General features: G+C 40.4%; 1 protein-coding gene across 5 annotated transcripts in view, besides 1 other annotated feature; it reads left to right on the top strand.

The window, feature by feature from the left end:
• The window catches only part of AOX1 (aldehyde oxidase 1), a 96,228-nt gene that overhangs the window by 15,951 nt on the left and 57,267 nt on the right, over nucleotides 1-23,010 (top strand). For all 5 annotated transcript variants that reach the window (XR_007073113.1, XM_011511062.2, XM_017003946.2 and 2 more), the window contains exons 6-19: nucleotides 320-381; nucleotides 1,303-1,392; nucleotides 2,053-2,133; nucleotides 2,732-2,876; nucleotides 3,572-3,664; nucleotides 7,020-7,171; nucleotides 7,357-7,450; nucleotides 9,420-9,529; nucleotides 10,645-10,829; nucleotides 11,840-12,002; nucleotides 14,007-14,099; nucleotides 18,686-18,855; nucleotides 19,156-19,282; nucleotides 21,897-22,019. Coding sequence is in view for 4 of the 5 variants with exons in the window: in XM_011511062.2 (XP_011509364.1) it covers nucleotides 320-381; nucleotides 1,303-1,392; nucleotides 2,053-2,133; nucleotides 2,732-2,876; nucleotides 3,572-3,664; nucleotides 7,020-7,171; nucleotides 7,357-7,450; nucleotides 9,420-9,529; nucleotides 10,645-10,829; nucleotides 11,840-12,002; nucleotides 14,007-14,099; nucleotides 18,686-18,855; nucleotides 19,156-19,282; nucleotides 21,897-22,019 (1,688 nt within the window). In the remaining variant the exon portion in view is untranslated. The remainder of the gene's footprint in view (nucleotides 1-319; nucleotides 382-1,302; nucleotides 1,393-2,052; nucleotides 2,134-2,731; nucleotides 2,877-3,571; nucleotides 3,665-7,019; nucleotides 7,172-7,356; nucleotides 7,451-9,419; nucleotides 9,530-10,644; nucleotides 10,830-11,839; nucleotides 12,003-14,006; nucleotides 14,100-18,685; nucleotides 18,856-19,155; nucleotides 19,283-21,896; nucleotides 22,020-23,010) is intronic.
• Nucleotides 6,656-7,855: an enhancer, noted in NCBI's record as "P300/CBP strongly-dependent group 1 enhancer chr2:201473343-201474542 (GRCh37/hg19 assembly coordinates)". NCBI's record gives its function as "activates an origin of replication core promoter dependent on BRD2, BRD4, P300/CBP, MED14 and CDK7 cofactors, with strong dependence on P300/CBP, by STARR-seq in HCT116 cells {active_cell/tissue: HCT116}" and the evidence as "EXISTENCE:reporter gene assay evidence [ECO:0000049][PMID:35650434]".

The raw sequence follows: 23,010 nt of genomic DNA on the forward strand, positions 1-23,010 counted from the left end.
AATAAGGCTTAGCTCTTGAATGTGACTGTAGAGCAAGTTTTTGGTTTGAAATTATTGTGTTGTTTGAGCACCTGTCACAAGCAGAAGGCATAACTTTACAGGAGAAAGTACAAATACCTGAGCTTTTAAAATCTGCCTCAAGATTCTTAATGAAATATCCCAAGTTGCTGTTGAAAAGATCTGACTTTGTAGATTAGGTGGACTAAAATGTCAAACAGATCTTTCCTCTATGATAGGGTCCTCATTTCCATCACACTCTTGGTAGACTGTGCCTCTATCTGGGTCACTTGGCTAACAGAGCTGGGTTTTTCTCCTTCAGGTAACCTGTGCCGTTGCACTGGATACAGGCCCATAATTGATGCATGCAAGACTTTCTGTAAAGTAAGTGGAAAGGACCACATGTTTGAGTATGTTTTCCCCAGTGAAACGAAATGGTAATGGTTGTCAGTGATTAGGGGGGCAGCCATCTTACTAATACATGGCTACTTCTTATCTCCAGGTTTCTAGCTGCTGTTTGTTATTTGATCTTGAGCAGGGCACTTAACCTCATTCATTGAGCTTGCCTTGGTGGTCGCATAATGAACACCTGAGCATTTTGACACTGGCTGTGTGTCATTGCTTCCAAGAGGTCTTTCCTGACCTCTTTGCCTGGGTCAGGTACCCTGGCCTGGTGTTCCTATAGCCCTCTGCGAACATGTGACGGGCATACACATGTCCCGTCACAGCTTTGGTCACAATGTGGTGCAACTGATCATTTGCTATCCCATGTCTTCACCAGACTGTGGGCTGCTTCACAGTAGAGGCTGTATATCTCCGGGTCCAGTCACCATATAGTCATTGAGTAGCTACTCAATATTTGTTGAATGAATAAATGAACAAACAAAGTTGAAATGAAGGATATAAGATTGCCCTCTGGAAGTTAAACAATGAATTCAGTATATCATAGATAAGAACAGTGATGACAATAACAATACCTGTTAATATTTATTATTAATATTTAAAATACTAACAATATTAACAGTTAATCATTATTAATATTTACTATTTAATGCTATGTGCCACGCTTAGTTATAAGATCTTTATGTCTTTTAACTTATTTAGTAATCACTGCTATTCAAAATTTTCTGTAAGCTCAGGTTTTTCATTAATGTTGGTTTGGATATGTTTAAGTACAAATGGCTCTCTTTCATGGCATCTAACGATATTGATTCAGCATTATGTTTCAACTGGCATTCACCTGCTTTATTTACTAGTTAGTAGAATCAGCAATAAATTCCTAGTGATTTGTTTTTTGTCCACTAGACTTCGGGCTGCTGTCAAAGTAAAGAAAATGGGGTTTGCTGTTTGGATCAAGGAATCAATGGATTGCCAGAATTTGAGGAAGGAAGTAAGGTCAGTGAAATGTAAAGCTTTTATAAGGCTTTCTCAGGACATGAACAGGAGCCAACATACTCTTAGGAAGAACAAATGGCTACCCAAGTTGACTAACTTGAGGTATGTCAACATGTGCCCTCTCCCATTCTCACTCCATCTCTCTATAAAAAAAAATTATATCGCAGCAACTTTGTCCTCATTCCAGATATTATTCCCATTTAAATACAGTTATCTACAGGAGGGAAAACACATTGGTTCCTTAGTGTCTCTTAGCTTTTAAAAGCATTTTTTCAAGTTATTTTTCAAGGGCCAGAAGTAAAGTGGAGATGTCATGAAAATAAAAGAACAGGTAGAACAAGTAGAGACAGGAGAGGTTCAGGGAGCCGTTCTTGTTCCAGCTGTGTCTGCGGCTGCTGCCTCCTCTTCTACTGTCCCCAGACTCCAAAGAGAAGGTACAGGGAGTTGAGGCCTCCAGAGGCCCATTGGCATCAGCACTGAGTTGCTGATGACAAGGTTTGTGTTAGAGCCCTTGGTTTGGAGCGCGGGGATTGTGGCTGGCCAGTGGACTTTTTTGTCGGTTTGCTGTATCTGACTGTGTATCTATATCTTTTGACCTTATTCCACAAAGGATTTTAAAGTTGCTCGATAACAGTAATTTCTGATATGTTCTCTTTTTAGACAAGTCCAAAACTCTTCGCAGAAGAGGAGTTTCTGCCATTGGATCCAACCCAGGAACTGATATTTCCTCCTGAGCTAATGGTGAGTAAAGCAATGTTGAGCTCATCCTAGAAGAATTCATGGTGAAATATCAGGAAGGGTATTTGTTTATGGGTTCTCTCAAAAGCTGATTGGCAAATAGGTGAGGCCTCTCTGTCATCCTTAGCTCAAGGTCTAAAGAGTATGGACTAAGGAAGAGGAGGAGGAATGGGGGTGGGGTCCCCATGGGGGACAGCTGAGTTGACTGTAAGAAGCAGCAGATAGCTTCTATAAAATCGTGAAATCACAGTGTTTGTAGGTATAGACATGTTTCCTACTTTCACTTTTGCTGAAGTTTATTCCTCCATAGAATGATTTAACAAGATTCAGCATGTTACTATATTTGCTAACATTAAAATGATGTTCTTTGAGACAAGAGCACCAAAGGGAGACAGACCAAGCAGTTCCCAGGAGTAAAGAACCATCGTGCTTTTATTCTGAATTCTAATTCCTTGTAAAGCTCTACTTTTAGGTCACTTTGTACTTTATTTTTTAGAAGATATGTATTTTCTCATTCTGTATCTACAGTGCTAATGATTGAGTGGAAACAGGTGGAGATGGCATCATTGGGTACCTTGAATCCCTATTGCTTTTTCAATAGATAATGGCTGAGAAACAGTCGCAAAGGACCAGGGTGTTTGGCAGTGAGAGAATGATGTGGTTTTCCCCCGTGACCCTGAAGGAACTGCTGGAATTTAAATTCAAGTATCCCCAGGCTCCTGTTATCATGGGAAACACCTCTGTGGGTATGTAGAACCCCAGGGATTTTTTATAGGGAAATTGAGAAAAAGGGCTTGGGATGGGGCCGGGGTGGGCTGGGGAAACTTCATATACATGTGTTCTCAGGAAAAGCAGTCTGAAATAGCATTTTTAATCATTTGAGCTAGACTTCCTGAGCATTGCTCAAGAGACTTTCTAACTGTTATTAAGTAGATTCCTCTTGCCTCTTATTGGAGCAGTGTCAAGAGTTGTACCGAAGGGGCTTGCTCCATAGCAAACCAGCAGCAGGAGCTTCAGTGACAGCTGTCCTGTCTTTCCTTTTGGGGACTAATCTGGGCCTCAAATTTCAAATTGCTCTTTGTTTCCTCTCTCAGGGTGTCTCAATAGGTATATGTTTTACTTAAACAACCGCTACAGGGTCTTCCTGTTGCATCCAGTGTGTGCTCAGCTTGAGGAGCAGCCCCTAGAGTCTTCCCAGAGAGAATTTTGAACATGCCATATGGCCCAAGTTTCAAGGTTGACAATTCCAGAGTCTTCCAAGTTTGATGAAAATCTATCCAGCCATTCTCTCTGTATGTGATTTGGCAATAAACAGATGAATAGAAAGATACAATATTTTTAGATATTTAAAGATATTAGTTTAATAATAATTTCAAATTTAAAAGGCAGTTAGTTCCTTTATTCTAGTCTTATTGATTTTTTTTTTTTTTTGATCCTTTAGGGCCTGAAGTGAAATTTAAAGGCGTCTTTCACCCAGTTATAATTTCTCCTGATAGAATTGAAGAACTGAGTGTTGTAAACCATGCATATAATGGTGAGTTCTCAAGTCCCTGTTTTCTTAGTTAAGATGCATTAATCAATTTATTTACCTTGCCCAGCAGACAAGCAGAAAAAGAATGATTCCTAATTATAATACACACAGAGATTCTCTTCTTATAAGAATGATATGTTTGTTGGCCACATAAATGTCTTCTTTTGAGGAGTGTCTGTTCATATCCTTTGCCCATTTTTTGATGGGGTTGCTTTTTCCTTATAAATTTATTTAAGTTCCTTGCAGATTCTGGATATTAGACCTTTGTCAGTGGGTAGATTGCAAAACTTTTCTCGCATTCTGTAGGTTGCCTGTTCACTCTGACACTAATTTCTTTTGCTAGGCATAAACTCTTTAGTTTAATTAGATCCCATTTGTCAATTTTGGCTTTTGCTGCAATTGCTTTTAGTGTTTTAGTCATGAAGTCTTTGCCCATGCCTATGTCCTGAATGGTATTGCCTAGGTTTTCTTTTAGGGTATTTATGGTTTTGGGTTTTACATTTAAGTCTTCAATCCATCTTGAGTTAATTTTTGTATAAGGTGTAAGGAAGGGGTCCAATTTCGTTTTCTGCATATGGCTAGCCAGTTTTCCCAGCACCATTTATTAAATAGGGAATTCTTTCCCCATTGCTTGTTTTTGTCAAGTTTGTCAAAGATCAGATGGTTGTGGATGTGTGGTTTTATTTCTAAGGTCTCTGTTCTGTTCCACTGGTCTATATATCTGTTTTGGTGCCAGTACCATGCTGTTTTGGTTACTGTAGTCTTGTAGTATAGTTTGAAGTCAGATAGTGTGACGCCTCCAGCTTTGTTCTTTTTGCTTAGGATTGTCTTGGCTATACAGGCTCTTTTTGGTTCCTTATGAAATTTAAAGTAGTTTTTCTAATTCTGTGAAGAAAGTCAATGGTAGCTTGATGGGGATAGCATTGAATCTGTAAATTACTTTGGGCAGTATGGCCATTTTCATGGTATTGATTCTTCCTATCCATGAGCATGGAATGTTTCTCCATTTGTTTGTGTCCTCTCTTATTTCCTTAAGCAGTGGTTGGTAGTTCTTCCTGAAGAGGTCCTTAACATCCCTTGTAAATTGTATTCCTAGGTATTTTCTTCTCTTTGTAGCAATTGTGAATGGGAGTTCATTCATGATTTGGCTCTCTGCTTGTCTATTGTTGGTGTATTGGAATGCTTGTGATTTTTGCACATTGATTTTGTATCCTGAGACTTTGCTGAATTTGCATATCAGCTTAAGGAGTTTTTGGGCTGAGACGATGGGGTTTTCTAAGTACACAATCATGTCATCTGCAAACAGAGGCAATTTGACTCCCTGTCTTCCTATTTGAATACCTGTATTTCTTTCTCTTGCCTGATTGCACTGGGCATAACTTCCAATACTACGTTGAATAGTAGTGGTGAGAGAGGGCATCCTTATCTTGTGCCAGTTTTCAAAGGGAATCCTTCCAGCTTTTGCCCATTCAGTATGATATTGGCTATAGGTTTGTCACAAATAGCTCTTATTATTTTGAGATATGATCCATCAATACCTAGTTTATTGAAAGTTTTTAACATGAGGAGATGTTGAATTTTATCAAAGGCCTTTTCTGCATCTATAGAGATAATCATGTGGTTTTCGTCACTGGTTCTGTTTATGTGAGGGATTACATTTATTGATTTGCATATATTGAACCAGCCTTGCATCCCTGGGATGAAGCCAACTTGATCGTGGTGGATAAGCTTTTCGATGTGCTGCTCATCATCACTGATCATTAGGGAAATGCAAATCAAAACCACACTGAGATACCATCTCATGCCAGTCAGAATGGTGATTATTAAAAAGTCAGGAAACAATAAATGCTGGCAAGGCTGTGGAGAAATAGTAATGCTTTTACACTGTTGGTAGGGGTGTAAATTAATTCAACCGTTGTGGAAGACAGTGTGGTGATTCCTCAGGGATCTAGAACCAGAAATACCATTTGACCCAGTAATCCCATTACTGAGTATATACCCAAAGGATTATAAATCATTCCACTATAAAGACACATGCACACTTAGGTATATTGCAGCACTATTTACAATAGCAAAGACTTGGAACCAACCCAAATGCACATCAATGATAGACTGGATAAAGAAACTGTGACAGATACACACCATGGAATACTATGCAGCCATAAAAAAGAATGAGATCATGTCCTTTGCAGGGACATGGATGAAGCTGGAAGCCATCATTCTCAGCAAACTAACACAGGAACAGAAAACCAAACACCACATGCTCTTACTCATAAGTGGGAGTTGAACAATGAGAACACATGGACACAGGAAGGGGAACAACACATACCGGGGCCTGTTGGCGGGTGGGGAGCAAGGGAAGGGAGAGCATTAGGACAAATACCTAATGCATGCAAGGCTTAAAACCTAGATGACAGGTTGATAGGTGCAGCAAACCACCATAGCACATGTATACCTATGTAACAAACCTGCACATTCTGTACATGTATCCTAGAACTTAAAGTAAAATAAAAGAAAAAGAAAATGGGGACAGAAAGCATAAAAAAAAAGAATGATAACATTCTGGAGGAAGACTGAGGGAAGAATTCTCTAAAGTTAATCTAAATACTAATTGTCTGAATAGTTCAGTTTTTACTGAAGAACTTCTTCTGTCTGCAATATCAGAGAAATGTAACAACTATTCAATGAAGGATACGGTGCTAAGTGCTGGACAGAAGATAAAGATGAATATAACACAGTCTTTGCTCTTTAAAACCACAGTAGCGAGTTTATGTATTCAACAGCTTACAGACTGGTTTTTCTACTCCTGTAGAGGAAATTGATATAATGGCAATGATAAGAAGCAATAGAAATGTGGGTTTGCAGTACAGCCTCTGAAATCTAACTCTTGACAATGGCATATATTAGCTGTCAGATCTTAGGCAAGTTACTCAACTCTCAGTTTCTTCATCTGTGAAATGGGGCTATTAATATCTCATAGGTATGTTCAGATTTAAGGAGATTATCTAAAGCATTCAACATAATACTCAATAGAGTGAGTGTTCAAAGAATTCAGCCTTCATTACCTCCATCAACACCACTTACATCACTACCACCACCTCTATCATTACCCCACCTTCATCACCACCACCACACCACCCCCTCAACTGCTATCCCTACCACCATCGCCTCACCACCACTTTCATTACTACCATTACCTTCATCACCATCACCACCATCACTGCCCATCACCACCATCACCAATAAGCAGGGCAGCATGTATCCAGTATAAAGATTCTATGTCTGTAGCTTTGGTCTAATGGACATTTTCAGATCAGCAGTGATCGCACTGTGTTATTTACAAATGACTTCATTTCAGGACTCACCCTTGGTGCTGGTCTCAGCCTAGCCCAGGTGAAGGACATTTTGGCTGATGTAGTCCAGAAGCTTCCAGAGGAGAAGACACAGATGTACCATGCTCTCCTGAAGCATTTGGGAACTCTGGCTGGGTCCCAGATCAGGAACATGGCTGTATGTATCTGATGACAGTAAACTCTGGTATGCATCCCTTGGGTGACTCTCCCTGATGAATCATGACATTTTCATTCTTTTGGAACAGACAAAAAAAATAGTTCTCCAAAGCCTTGCTTAATCCTTATTTTAGCACTTGCTTTTTTATGATTACATAAATGAAAATAACTCATTATTTTTAAAAGTCTTTAGGGGGACACATCATTAGCAGGCATCCAGATTCAGATCTGAATCCCATCCTGGCTGTGGGTAACTGTACCCTCAACTTGCTATCAAAAGGTAAGTGACAGCCCCTACTTGGAGATTATTAAGCTGTTTCTCTACCCCTTTTTCTCTCTGGGGAGGCAGGAAATCCAGTCTTGAAAATGACTTTTCCCTATAATATCAATACATTTCTCTGCTTTTCTGGATACTGGAAATTTTGTGAGTCTTGTCTTAATAGCACAGGCTTTCTTCCCCTGTGTCTTTCTGGTTTTTTGTTTGTTTGTTTGTTTTTCCTCATACTGGTCACCCTACACTGGACATGTTTGTGTTGGTTAATGTCCGGATGTGATCTGATTATTGCTGGGAACTACATACTATTGAGAACTATTGGGTCCCTTTGTTGAAGACATTCTCCAGGTGGTACAGGAGTGTTGTGGCACCCACATCGTGCTTTGAGCTCACACTTAATTTATCATTGATGGAAACATACAGGTCTTTTTCAGGTGAAAAATGATTGGGCCTCATTCTATATTTATTTACTTGATTTTTGTTATTAAAACTAAGTCCACAACATCTAATTTATCGCTTCTTCCAACTTGCTTGAAAATTATTAGGAAGTTCTAATTGGTCCTCTGTAAATTTGTGGGGTTTTTTTTCGTTAAAAAATATGGACTAGTTTTCTATCATCTGCATTGTTAAATACTTACTCTTCATACCATTTAAACCATAAAACTATCTTTTTTTTTTTTTGAAATGGAGTCTCGCTCTGTCACCCAGTCTGGAGTGCAGTGGCACAATCTCAGCTCACTGCAACCTCTACCTCCTGGGTTCAAGCGATTCTCCTGCCTTGGCCTCCTGAGTAGCTAGGACTGCAGGCATGTGCCACCATGCCCAGCTAATTTTTGTATTTTTAATAGAGATGTGGTTTCACTATGTTGGCCAGGCTGGTCTCGAACTCCTGACCTCGGGTGATCCACCCGCCTCTGCCTCCCAAAGTGTTGGGATTACAGGCATGAGCCACAGTGCTTGGTCACAAAACTATCTTAAAGAGGAAGATTTGCATTCAGGGTTTTCAATTTGAGTAACATCCCCTAAAAGTCATACTATGAGAAACAGGTTTGTGATGTGAATATAGACATCAAAAGCTTCTTAGCTTTCAGTATTTTGTTATAGTTTTAAACTGTTCCTCTTCCTTATATATTAATTAAAGAACTAAAATTCTTCAGGTGTTGGAACAAGATATAAAAAAGTAAGATAACATCTCAGTAGTATACAAATTTATTAAAGATAATTTCTTATTCATGACTGTATCTAGTGGGGTTCCTGGTTATAAACAATAAATATTTGTTGGCTGACTTGATCAGAATATCAAAAGAGATATTAATATTTACTCCCTACTTGTAAAGTTTTAAGTGAATTGTGTTGTCAGGAAGAGGACTGCTAAGGTTCTATTCTACCTGAAACTCTGGGCTACTCTGTGAGATCTTTTCATCTATTTTTTAAATCTATTTTTTATTTTTAAAAAAATTTTTTAGATGGAGTCTCACTTTGTCATCCAGGCTGGAGTGCAGTGGCATGATCTCAGCTCACTGCAACCTCTCCCTCCCGGGTTCAAGTGATTTTCCTGCCTCAGCTTCCTGAGTAGCTGGGACTACAGGTGCGCACAACCATGCCCAGCTAATTTTTTTGTATTTTTAGCAGAGAGAGGTTTCACCATGTTGGCCAGGCCGGTCTCAAACTCCTAACCTCAAATGATCCACCTGCCTTGGCCTCCCAAAACACTAGGATTACAGGTGTGAACCACCACGCCCAGTCGATGTTTTTATCGATGAGAAAGCAAGGAAAACAAAAAGAGATGGGGCCTAGACTAGAAGAAACATTGCAAGACGCATTATAGGGTAAAAGATTTGCGAAGCATAGGAAGAGCACCTGTTTCCCTGAACAACCGGTTTCCTCAGGTATTTGGTAGAATTACTTCCTAAGTTTTGGAAGTTTATTTAACAGACCAAACAGATCCCAGGGAAAGTGTCATTTCTTTCCACAGAAGGAAAACGACAGATTCCTTTAAATGAGCAATTCCTCAGCAAGTGCCCTAATGCAGATCTTAAGCCTCAAGAAATCTTGGTCTCAGTGAACATCCCCTACTCAAGGAAGGTGAGAACATCCCACTGTCAATTTCCCAGTTGCACCTGTGATGCTATGGCTTGTTTATTCCAGTATATGGTGGAATAAGAAAAAGGGTGAAGTGTTTATGTGGGAGATAAAGGCTCAACTTCAGGAAGTGGTATGAGGTCATTATTTTAAGACTTGTGAATAGTTGCCTTTTCCTTGTATTACGCATGCCCCTATCATTCCTCGAATTAGGAGATTTTTTTTTTTTTTTGAGATCGAGTCTCGCTCTTTTGCCCACACTGGAGTGCAGTGGCATGATCTGGGCTCACTGCAATCTCTGCCTCCCAGGTTCAAGCGATCCTCCTGCCTCAGCCTCCCGAGTAGCTGGGATTACAGGTGCGCACCACCATGCCCAGCTAATTTTTGCATTTTTAGTAGAGACGGGGTTTCGCCAAGTTGGCCAAGCTGGTCTGGAATTCCTGACCTCAGGTGATTCACCTGCCTCGGCCTCCCAAAGTACTGGGATTACAGGTGTGAGCCACCACTCCCAGACTTATCTCTGCCATTCTCGCTCTTTCTCCCCCTACCCCAAGCTCTAAAGTAACTTTCTAAAAGGTTTTTGTCCCATAAGCCTTTCTCCCTAAATATGACATGAAGAGTATGCCTCTACCTATATCTTGGGTTTTGAAAAAAGCCTAAAAATACATTTGCAATAGAACTTATTGGAAAAAACATGAGGCTTTGCATGAGATAGAGTCAGGTTTGAATCCTGGTTTCAAGGCCTGAACTAATTACTGAATCCTTCTGCGCCTTGGATTCCTCATCTGTAAAATGGGAATAATCAAGCCTGCCTCAGAGGATGTATTAGTTTGCTAGGGCTACCATAACAAAGAACCACACACTGGGTGGCCTCAACAACGGAGAATGATTTTCTGGAGATGCTGGGGGCTGCATATCTGATATCAATGTGATACTCAACATACACATACCGTCCAGCACGTAGGTGATGCTCAACACACACACACTACCTGGTGTGTAGGTGACACTCAACACACACAGACTGCCCGGTGTGTAGGTGATACTCAAGACACACAGACTGCCCAGTGCATAGGTGATGCTCAGTGTTTCTACATGTGCCACTTAACTGTTTCTTTCAGTGGGAATTTGTGTCAGCCTTCCGACAAGCCCAGCGACAGGAGAATGCGCTAGCGATAGTCAATTCAGGAATGAGAGTCTTTTTTGGAGAAGGGGATGGCATTATTAGAGAGTTATGCATCTCATATGGAGGCGTTGGTCCAGCCACCATCTGTGCCAAGAATTCCTGCCAGAAACTCATTGGAAGGTAAGGCATTAGAAGTAAGGGCTCCTCTAATACTTGTCCTTAGACTCCAAGTATTAGAGGAGCCCTTTTTGTGGTGAGATGTGATTACAAGAAGAAAAGTGTTCCATACCTTTCTATTTAATGGCTGGGAATTCCAATAAGATTTTGTTATTATTTCCATATGTCTTGATGTTAGTGAATTCTGAAGTGGGAATTATATACTCTGTGTGCGTGTGTGTGTGTGTGTGTGTGTGTGAGAGAGAGAGAGAGAGACAGACAGACAGAGAAGCCCTCCCTCAACAGTGCAAATTTGTATTCTTTATTTTGGGAGAATAATTTGCCATGATGAAAAACCAATTATGTGAGTTTGTTCTATAATAAATTGTTAAAGGCATTTGCTTACCTGACTTCCTATATCTAAAGATGACACTAATAGCTAATATTTCTTGAGCATTACTTGGTATCAGCTGCCATAACAAAGCATAGTGATTAAAAGCATGAGCTTTAAAACTTGAGAAAGGCAGACTGGCCAAAATCTCAGTTTACCCTCTGTTAACTCCTCCATGCTCTCAGTCAGCTTACTTAATTATATTGGTACTTTGGTTCCCTAGCTGTCAAAGATGGGTGATCATACCTACCTCACAGGGCAGTTGAGAGGATTAAATGAGTGAATACATATAAGGTGCTAAAAGCAGATCTTGGCATGCAATAAATGTCCTAGTGAGGACATTTATTAGTGAGTAAATGAGGGTCAGTTACTCCTGGACTGTGGATTTTATATGAGTTGTCATTTATTTCTCTAGATCATTCTGTGAGTTGGGTTCTAATATTCCCCTTTTACAGGTGAGGACATGGCGAGACCCAGGCTAGCCACCTTGAGAATGGTGGGCCAATTTGAACTCGGGCTGCCTGATCCAGAGCTTGTACTCTTATTTCCTGTATTAAACTATGGCTATTTGTCTTACCCATTAGATGAAGATATGGGGTAATAAACCCTGTCAGGCTAGGAGTCTTCTCTTTGGACTTTCCAGGCACTGGAACGAACAGATGCTGGATATAGCCTGCAGGCTTATTCTGAATGAAGTCTCCCTTTTGGGCTCGGCGCCAGGTGGGAAAGTGGAGTTCAAGAGGACTCTCATCATCAGCTTCCTCTTCAAGTTCTACCTGGAAGTGTCACAGATTTTGAAAAAGATGGTAAACAACTGTTTACACATTAACTTCCCCAGTACTGGGAGCTATGATGACACCAAAAGTAGAGGCAATGACTCCCTACCAAATAGCTGTAGAATAAAAAAGACAATCCACATTAGAAACACACGTACTTGCTGAACATCCCTCAGCCTGTCTGTGGGTGGGTATGAGTTTAGGGAAGAATTGAAAGTAGAGCCAAGAGTTGATCAGGCTTTTATTTAACACCACTCAATTATTTGGTTTCTGACTGTTAGTTTTTCCAGATCATGTTCAGAAAACTTGCTAATGATTTGGGTATGTTTTCCCTCTGTATGTCATTTCTTTCTCTTGAGCTATTACCTTCACGTTGAGGTTGACTTCATGTGTTTGGTGTTCTTTTCCAGATTCAGCTTCATTTCCCTAGCCCATAAGGTGGCCATGATGGCAGCCACTGCACAAGATGACTGTGAAATGCGTCATTGTAGGAAAAGGGCTTCATATGGTCCCTAGTGCTTCAGAGGAAATCTGTAGTAGTAGTCATAATAATAGTAGTGACAATCCATGCATTCTTTTGCCTGGTCTCTCTTAGGGCAAACAATTAAAGCTACAAGATTCTTGGCTGGGGAGGACACAACTAAAAAAAATTCTCTGAATAAATCCATTAGACCCAAAGGAGACTTGAGCCTCATTGGCCTCACAAACCCCATGCTATAACCAGCTGACCAAAACAGACTGGAAGCCAAGAACAGTCTTCCTGTGGTATAGAAGTTAGTATGGTCACTTTAAATAGCAGACACAAAGTCCTCTCTTATCCTTGCTTTTGAGGGTATCTTCTCAGTGTAGGTGGGAGCAACTAGGAACCAGAAGGGTAGTATCACATTATTAAGAATGAAAATTTGAAATCATAGATAAGTGACATATTGTCACCAGGTAACCAATTATAGACTCCTCCAATTAGTAGCAAACTAATATAATTTCTGGGTGACTCAAGCGATGTAATTTAAAACTTTTGCCTTGTAGTCTTATACCCCTCCTCTCTTTAAAAATAATAGCTTTTGTTGGTTTTATTTAATTTTTTTTTTTGAGACAGGGTCTCTGTCACCCATGCTGGAATACAGTGGTGTGATATCATAGCTCAGTGCAGCCTCAACTTCCTGGACTCAAGCAATTCTCCCACCTCAGCCTCCCAAATAGCTGAGACCACAGGCATGCACCACCATGCCCAGCTAATTTCTTTATTTTTTTGGAGAGACAGAGTCTTACCATGTTGCTCAAGCTGGTCTTGAACTCCTGGACTCAAGCAATCCTGCTGCCTTGGCTTCCCAAAATGCTGGAATTACAGGCATGAGCCATGACACCTAGCTGGTTTTATTTTCTATTAAAATTATGTAAATTAGAAAAAATAACCACCATGTGTATTGTTGAAAGCCTTTCCCCCCATCCAGCTCTAGGCTGTGCAATGTTCAGTCTTGTGTAAAGAACCAAATGACTCACTTCCCTCAGTCCTGAGGAATGTTCTTGCTGGGGACCAGAATCCTTCCCCTGTAGGGCAGCGACAGGGATGCAGCCTGTGTCCCCCTTTCTACACAGCTGGCAGGCAACATGGAACCTTTATGCTTATTTGCAATGGTGTACTTTGACTCTGATGTTTTCCTGGCTTAAGTATTTTCTTCCTTTCTATTTTATTTACTTAGCTTCTATCTTCTTGTTGGATCAGTTTGTAAGTCCTCATATCATTTAGGAGAGTATATGAGAGAATCATAAGAAACATAGAGCTGGTGGAAGCCAGTTACCTACCGTATTCATCTGGCTATTCATAATATGAGGAAATATGTATGCACCTTTCAGAGTATATGTCCTTGAGTCAGGGAGCTGCTTGTATTTCTGGGGTTCTGAATAGGGTGAGTGCTTAATATACGTGAGACTTCAGAGTAGAGATGCTTGCTAAGACTCATGCTAGCCTCACTTCCAAAATCATTCTGGTGCATTCAAACTATTTAAAATATCTGCAATGGTTCTACTTTTCAGGATCCAGTTCACTATCCTAGCCTTGCAGACAAGTATGAAAGTGCTTTAGAAGATCTTCATTCCAAACATCACTGCAGTACATTAAAGTACCAGGTGAGCGGTATTTCTTGTTTTTAAAAATTCACAATCTGGGCTATAGTGATTTGACCTGGACATTCCCACTGTCTCTCCGTGAAACTCAAGCTCTGTAAGTCCAAGCTCCACTTCTGGTAAACTCACAGCCTCTTTATGGGTAACTAAAATTCCAAAATCAATGAAGAATTTGATTAAAGACAAATCTAGCAGTGGTAATATTAAAGAAGAATGTTGATTTGGGTCTTAAAGGTTACGTGCTTTGCACTGTGGCCTTGTACCACAGACACGCATGAGATGGCCACCTTGTCACGTGTTTTCTGCCCTGGGCACTGCAGGCATCAGAGTCCAATAAAGCCACGCTCTGCGGCAAGGCCATGGGCTGCTTTGCTTTCATTTTCAGAGGAAAAGACACAGCCCCTAGAGGTTGATGAAAATTCAATAATGCTTTTAAAAAGAACTGCTGATTTGTTTAGCTTGAATGTTAAGATATTTTACTCCCTTAGTCTCTATTCTTCTAGTGATTTTTCTGTGAGTTACATTTTAGAGTTGAATCAAACGTAAGTACTAAGAGCTTTTTGTGCTCTCGTAATGAAGGCTATTAGAAAACAGGATTCCTAACTCTCAAATGGAATTTTCTGCCACATCATAAAAATATGCCTGAAGTCACCCTGTTGGTAAAGTGGATACAGTTTGGTGGGTTTTTCCTTGAAATTATTATCAGGAAACTTGACCTCGAGAGTTTTAGTAAGTCAAGAACATGAAAAGGCTTTTTAAAGCATTTGTTCACTGAAACTATTGTTGGATTTGGTTGTGAAAGCTTATAGTATGTCGTAATGAACATTGACGTTGGTGTGTATTCCTTGAGGTTTTAGGTTCAATATGTTTAAAAATTAAAATGCACCAAACTCCATTGAAAATGATTGTTTTGAAAGTTAAAAACAGCTGCCATCTCCCCGGTGTTCTTTTCAAATATGATAGTTGAACCCTTTGGCTTATAAATACCCTAATATTTCTTAGACAATGGAATAAACTTCAGAAAGAAACAACAACAAATTAATGGATATTGAAATCATCCAAAGAAAAAGGAAAATCTTCACATAGTGCATGATCTTGAATGAGAGTTTATCATTGATTGCAAAACAAAGTTTTAGATGCAATATGTCTGCCACATAGATGAGTTTTGTTTTTGTTTTGCCCGTGGTTTTTCACACACACATACAAACATCCACATTGCTAGAGCAACGTCAGCACTCACGAAGAGCATTTTTCCCCTAAATCAGTTCATTTGCTTTGAAAATATTTTGACACAGCTTCAAAAGATCACCAGTTTGAGGAGACAGCATTCTTCCTTCCATAGTATCTTTAGCCAAATACTAAGCAGAAGCAGGTAATTGAGGACAGCTTCTTTCACCAGTAGATTTATCACAACTAACTGCAAAAAAAAAAAAAAAAAAAAAAAAATGTATGATATCTTTGACGGTAGGACAAAGACATTTTTTGGAATTTTTCCTCAGTTTTTTGGCAGGCCTCACACAACATGGTTTCAAAAGACTTTTTTTCAATGTGATGAAGTGTTTTGTTTGTTACAGTGAAATGTGTTATGTCAGTTAACTCCCAGACCCATTACAGATACCTATGAATGTCTTTCCTTAATGTCTGAGCTTATGAATTATCTGGAATTTTGCTTTTCAGGATGAAAAAACTTCTTAGGGTTTTAAAAAGAAGATGTGGGTGATTTTTTTTCACTCAAATGTGGTTCAGGTTGAGAGCCCAAGCAGCATCACAGCTCAGCACTTTGGGGGATATTTTGCAGAGGAAGTCAATTCCTACCATCTGCAACATATGAAAAACCACACCTGGTAGAACCTCATTGTTGGTTTTTCCTTTTCATCACTATCTCAGCTCCTCGAAGCAGAGGGGGAAGAGGAGAACTGAGGGGATTCCTTTGCCATGGGGACAGGGCAGTGTGAGCTACGTCAATAGAGCTGGAGTGTTGGGACTGTCTCCAATCTGTGCTCATGCCTGAACCCCAATAAGTAAACTTTTCTCTCATTTTCCCTAGTCCCCTACATTCGTGGCCTAATATCTACCTTTATTGAATGGAGCCCTGGGCCAAGGTCTAAATTATTTTTCTCGATAGTCTCCTGCTTTCTAGCTGATAAAGTCAGGATGACTCAACAATAACTGAAAATGAAAAAACAAAAACTTAGTCAATACTCCGTTTTTTGTTCACTGTATTATACTAACTACAAAACTGAAGTTTACATTTAAGTAAAAGAAATATGAAATTAGAACAATAAATGCTTATCAACAGTGTTTATTTTGCAGCAAAACAGTAAATTTTATATAAAATAGGAATAAATGCATCCTACACACATGTCTTATACCAAGTTAATTGTAGAAATTACACTACTTTCTGTGCATAGTTGTCAGCCACAATTTGGTTGACATTTTACTTCTTGTCATTTATGTTATGAAAATAATATGGTTTTTTTATTTTCAAATCAATGTTGAACATGTTCTGAAATAACACATGCCACTCTGCCGTTCTCTCCTGATATTCCAGCCCTGCCACCTGCCTGGAGAATCTCTGATCTCTATCTCCAGCCAGAGGTTTTTTGTTTTTTTGAGGCCCTTAAGTAGTTGGGTAGTGAGTGGGGAGCACTCTTCTCGAGTTCCTGGAGCAGCAGAGGGCACTGGAGAACTGTACATTTCACAGCTGTCTTAAGTAAAGCTCTCATTATAACCAGAGGTCTCCTCCATTTGTGGGATTAGATGAATTAAATCCAAATGTTCAGAAAGGAAAGCAAAACATCTGCATGAAAAGGAAATGTGTTAATCGGGGGGATCCAGACAGCTTGTCTTCAGTTCCATAGAGCAAGAGCCTTGGAGCACTTTCACTGGACCAGGGCAGACTTTGAAACAGGAAACCCTGCAGTGAAGAGTGAGATGAAATACCATTTTAGATGGATTCAAGTATCTAACTTATTGTTCATATGTGCTGAATAGGCTTTCTCAAACTGCACATTCTGGTAATCAAATACAAAAGAATTTAGCTTTTCTCCCCGCTCAGATGCCTTAAAGGATGCTATGTTGGAAATAGGCCTGTTTCTTCTTTTTTCTCCCAGTAAAGATTTTTAACCAGTATGTGTTGGCGACTTGTTCTCTCTTCCCTCCTGCCATATGATGTGTAGCCTGGCATTGTAAGGCTCATCTAAAAGGAAGATCCAGGGCTCAGGGTGATCCTGTGAGCTGCAGGATGGGAAGGGGAGGTGTCCATAGCTTTTCTCTGACCTCAACCTGGCCAACATGACTGCATGCCCCTCACCCCCAGGTCTTCCAGAGAAAGCCTCTGGGAGTCTGGCCTCAGTCCCAGTACCGAGTGCAATGTTGACACAGTGAGTTACAGATGGGGGTACCCACCAGGGCTTAGCAGGCCACTCCTCAGCCACAGCCTTCACCCTGGCCTTATGTCTGTCTCTTCACCTGCTCTCCTTCTTTCTTCATATCTTCAGTTCTTTTCACAATACACACCCGACTGGGAAAGCCATAAATTCCCATATTTGAAACACCAGGGCAGACATTGTGCTGATTAATGTCTGCTTTGATTAATGAAACACATTTAAGGTATTTACAGAGCCAACAGCAAGATATTCTGCTCCATGGGGCTCTAAGAAAGAGCAACATTAGTGGATCATTACTCCAATTGCAGGTCCCTTTGGCTTCATTCTCTATCAGGATTGTCTAAGTTAAGAGTTTTGCCAATTATTTCTTATATTTCCTCACTCAAAATTGAAAAAAAGAAGGCTATTCTGGTTGAAGTAATACCCTCAGTATTTTCTACAAACATAGTCACGATATCATCATACTCTTCTGTAAAATATTATATGTATCGTGCTTATATAGAAACAGTAAAGTCATTTTGATAATAAAATTTAAAGAGATACATAAGCATTAGCAAGAGGACATAATTTTGTATTGTCAAGAAGAAAGATTTAAATTTGTTTACTTACACAAATGGAATTTCCATTTGAGATGTTTGGGGTCTACATTCAAAAAAAGTGAAAAATAAGAACAACATCATGGATTGACATACCAGTTGGCTTATTGAATTACTGTAGTAGGTTTATTGTCTTGGTGTTATTAATAGTGACTTTTTTTTTTTTTTTTTTTGATGGCGTCTTGCTCTGTCTCCCAGGCCGGGGTGCAGTGCTGTGATCTTGGCTCGCTGCAACCTCTGCCTCCCAGGTTCCAGCGATTCTGTAGCCTCAGCCTCCCGAGTAGCTGGGATTACAGGCATGTGCCACCGTACCTGGCTATTTTGTTTTGTTTTGTTTTTTTTTAGTAGAGACGGGGTTTTACTATGTTGGCCAGGCTGGTCTCGAACTCCTGACCTCAAGTGATCTGCCCACCTTAGCCTCCCAAAGTGCTGGGATTATAGGCATGAGCCACTGTGCCCAGCCCAATAGTGCTTTTTCATATGCAAAAGTATTCTGGTTTGAGTCTAAATTATATAGCTACCTTCTTATGGGAAATGTGCATAATAATAATTCCTACTTTCTCTATAGAAATGTAAAAGTATATTTTGGTTATTTATTAAACAGAATATAGGCCCAAAGCAGCATCCTGAAGACCCAATTGGCCACCCCATCATGCATCTGTCTGGTGTGAAGCATGCCACGGGGGAGGCCATCTACTGTGATGACATGCCTCTGGTGGACCAGGAACTTTTCTTGACTTTTGTGACTAGTTCAAGAGCTCATGCTAAGATTGTGTAAGTGGTAAAATTCTTACTCAATGGGCATAAATGATTGTCTTTTCATCTAAGTCACACTAGTGAAAAGTAATGGTGTGAAGAAATAGGCTATTTGTTGGTGATATCCAATGCAGACCAGAGGTGAAACAGGATCGAAATGTAGGATTTACTACAACTTCGTTGTCCCAAGAATTTTTTCCCAATTGTCTGGCAGAGACTGTTGGACAGTTCTTACCTCTCTCATATCTTATTATCCAATTAACCATGTTCTTGGCCTCTATGGCCACTCTAAGGAGCTCTGCTGTGTATATCATCTAGGTCTATTGATCTGTCAGAAGCTCTCAGCATGCCCGGTGTGGTGGACATCATGACAGCAGAACATCTTAGTGACGTCAACTCCTTCTGCTTTTTTACTGAAGCTGAGAAATTTCTGGCGACAGATAAGGTACTGCATTTTTGCTTTCTATTTGAAAAATAACTTTCTCAGTTAACGGTGCTTCATATTTTCTTAAAGATACCATCTACTTTGGCACACCATGAAAGACTCCAGTATTCTTAGAATGCTTATTATAAAAGTATATTCTAATATTGAATGAATTCAAATATATTCATTTTCTGTACAAGTAAAGACATTAACTAGTTATATAAAAGATTATTTGGTGTTTTACATTTTCTAATAGTGAGATGGCATACTGCTAATGGTATAAATGAGTAAATGAAGATGGAATAATGGTAAATTTTATATGGAAATCCCTTCCCTGAGAAGCCCTTATTATTGTCCCAGTCTCAGTGTGGTCAAAGTTCAACTACAAGTTCAAGTGGTATCTGCACCATGAAGCCTTTTTTCTCATTCTTCAATCCAGAAGTTCATTCATTCTCTCTCTCTCTCTCTCTCAATTTATTCTGATTTATTTATATTTCCATGTGTTAAATGCGCTTTTTATTTTTTATTTTATTTTATTTTATTTTGAAATGGAGTTTCTGTTTGTCACCCAGGCTGGAGTGCAGTGGCATGATCTTGGCTCACTGCAACATCCACCTCCTGGGTTCAAGCGATTCTCCTGCCTCAGCTTCCTGAGTAGCTGGGATTACAGGCACAAATCACCATGCTCGGCTAATTTTTGTGTTTTTAGTAGACAGCATTTTTGCCATGTTGGCCAGGCTGGTCTCGAACTCCTTACCTCAGGTGATCTGCCCGCCTGGGCCTCCCAAAGTGCTGGGATTGCAGGCATGAGCCACCACGCCCGGCTTAAATGGGATTTTTAAAAGTGAGCATCTATGATGTCTGGTCACCATAGCTGAACAAGATATGTATGATCTCTACTCTCATGGAGCTTAAAGTCTAGAGGAGAAAACAAAGTGACCTTTATGTACTTTCTACCTTGTGTTAAGCTTGTTTATTTTGATGTCTTATATATTTCTTCCACCTAGTATAAATTCCTTGAGTGAGGACCCATGTCTGATTCATCTGTGTATTCCACACACTGCTTCTCACATTGCAGGGTGAATGAGTAGAGGTATAGTGATAACATTGTTGCCTTGTGAAAATTACAAATGATTAAAACTTTGGCTACAGCAAGAACAGCAGTCAACAGGTTTTCTGCATAATTCGGACTGCTCAGTTCAGTGTTTACCCAAAAGGGCTTCATAATTTGAAACAGTCCCTTCCTCTGGCTCTCCTTGGAAGATACTCCCTTGAAGATATTATCTGTAGAAATGAAAGCTTGATGACTGAGAGTTTGAACTCAAGGTTGAAACTCCCCCAAAGCAGGGCTGTGTAGCACTGGCAGAGACGGTGAGAATTTAAGCCCTTTGCATAAATGTTTACTAAACAAGTGAAACTGATCTTGGCTGCATGATAGTACCTGCTCTTTGAGGTGTGCTTATGAAGATCATAAGCATCTCAGGGGCCACATCTATGTGCCAGGTCACAGGAGCAAAATCAGGAGTCTTTGGAGTGCCATTGTGAATGATTGCCTTTGTTGGTTTAATGCTTTTTAAAACATTCATTTATGGCACTTAATGGCTTTTAAAAGTCTTTTCATTGTAGAAATTGTAAGCATACACAAAAATGGGAAAGTATTATACAATGAACCCCATAGATCCATCACCCAGCTTCAACAGTTATCAACACGTTACCATTCTTGTTTCATTTTTCTCTCCTTCACTGCCCCTACCCCAAACAAACACACTTTTTTTGTGTTCATGCTAGATTTTATGTTTTTAATGCCTTTTTTTCGATGATAAAACTACTTTATGTTCATTGTGGAAAAGACATAATAGTTCAAAGTCAATTTTTAAAATGAGTGATTACATTGAAATTGTGAATCACAGCATAAAGTAGGAGAGAGAACTCAGCAATGATGGTGACTTCTTCCAGTCCAGACTGTTTTTACCTTTCTCAAGTCTTAAGGTTTCTTTTCCCCATCTAAATTTCTGCTGTGGTCCCTGTGTGAACTCCTGAGCCTAGCTGCCCCACCTGCAGGCGAATAATCCTAGCTGTCAACCCCCCCAGGAAGGGGATGCTGTCTGCTTGGTCACGTCTTGGCTAGGACATCTTTTCATGAAAAGACAGTTTGTGAGGAGAGATGTGCTCACCATCAGGGTTCTGTTATCACAGGGGACTCCCCTTCCCAGGTCATCCCCTTTTTCTCTCTGGTTGAGATGATCTGTGACTTCCTGGTCCTCCCTGTCCGTGCAGGCAGAGGCTGCCTCTCTCAGAACAGCTCTGATTGTCGTGTGACAGCCAAACATCAAGCCATGGGACAGGCTGGCCCTCACACAGCCTCATAGGCTTGGCCTGGAGCCTGAGCCTGCTGTCCTCAAGACAGCATCACTCCTGCTCCTCTGATACAGCACAAGGATCTAAACTTCCCCCAGTGCCTCGGATCAGGAGGCCAGCTGTGGTTATAGTCATGGACAGATGTGGAGGGGTCACACCTGTGTGTATCTAGCCCTAGCCCTACTGTAATCGAGTACTAGGAGGGAGGAAGAAAATGAATAAAAGAGAGGACCTGATGCCTGCCCTCCTTGACAACAAAGGTCTTTCTGTGTCGTAGGTGTTCTGTGTGGGTCAGCTTGTCTGTGCTGTGCTTGCCGATTCTGAGGTTCAGGCAAAGCGAGCTGCTAAGCGAGTGAAGATTGTCTATCAAGACTTGGAGCCGCTGATACTAACAATTGAGGTAATGAGTTCTGTGGAATGGTGGTGCCAGTTGGGAGCCAGAACAAATATCAGTTAAAATGCTTTTGGCTACTGTAACAGGAAAATGTGGCTCAAAGTGGCCTCCAAAGCACACGGACTTTATTAACCTCTAACCAGTCTCAGTATTAACAATTTCCCCAAGGACATGGCTTCTTTTTGCCACTCTTCTCTGCTGCCCACAATACAAGCTCAATTCCTGTGGTCACACAGATGGCCGCCAGGACAACCTGGACTTCCTTGTTCATGTTCAAGGAGTAAGAGGAACCCTATTGCCCCAGCATTCTAAGCACAAATCCTGAGATCCAGCCTAATTAAGCCACTTAGGTCACATATCCATCTCCAAATTAATGACTGGCAGAGGAATGGAGGAGCTGTTGGTTACTTCTAGGGGTAGGAGTTGGGGTCAGGTTTCTCTGAAGTAAGTGGGCTATGTAGGGGAGTGTAGGAAACTGAAACAAATCTGAGCCCTGTTTGGAAAGGGAAAGGGGAGGGGATGCTAGATGGGAAACAGTGATGTCCAGGAAAGTGGATCCACTCTATGACTTTTTACCCACCTTCACCCAGGCACATGGTGAGGACCAACAGGATGTTCCATGAAGTGAGTGTCAGAGACACGATTTTTAGATTTTTCAAGAGATAAGTCGTATGATGCCTACAGGTATTTTGGCAACTTAAACTGGAGAATTGCATTTTCTATCCTGATTTTTAGAAAGGAGTTGAAAATTTATAAAGGCTATAAGACTCATCTCCATGAAATGATAGGATGTTCTCTTGTGTGCATTCCATTGGTTCTTATAATTTCCTGGATGATGAAAGAATGAACACTGGGGAGGCAGTGTAAATAGATGAGACTCAGTCCATACAGGCCGCATGTGCTCTGGGACACAATATTAGCTTCACAGCATAATGAACATGTTGTTCTCTGGGTGACCGGCATGGCCTGAGGCAGAATTGAGGAAACAACCTGGGCA

This window comes from Homo sapiens, chromosome 2 (assembly GCF_000001405.40).
Source record: "Homo sapiens chromosome 2, GRCh38.p14 Primary Assembly".
In the NCBI taxonomy this organism is placed as follows: Eukaryota; Metazoa; Chordata; class Mammalia; order Primates; family Hominidae; genus Homo; species Homo sapiens.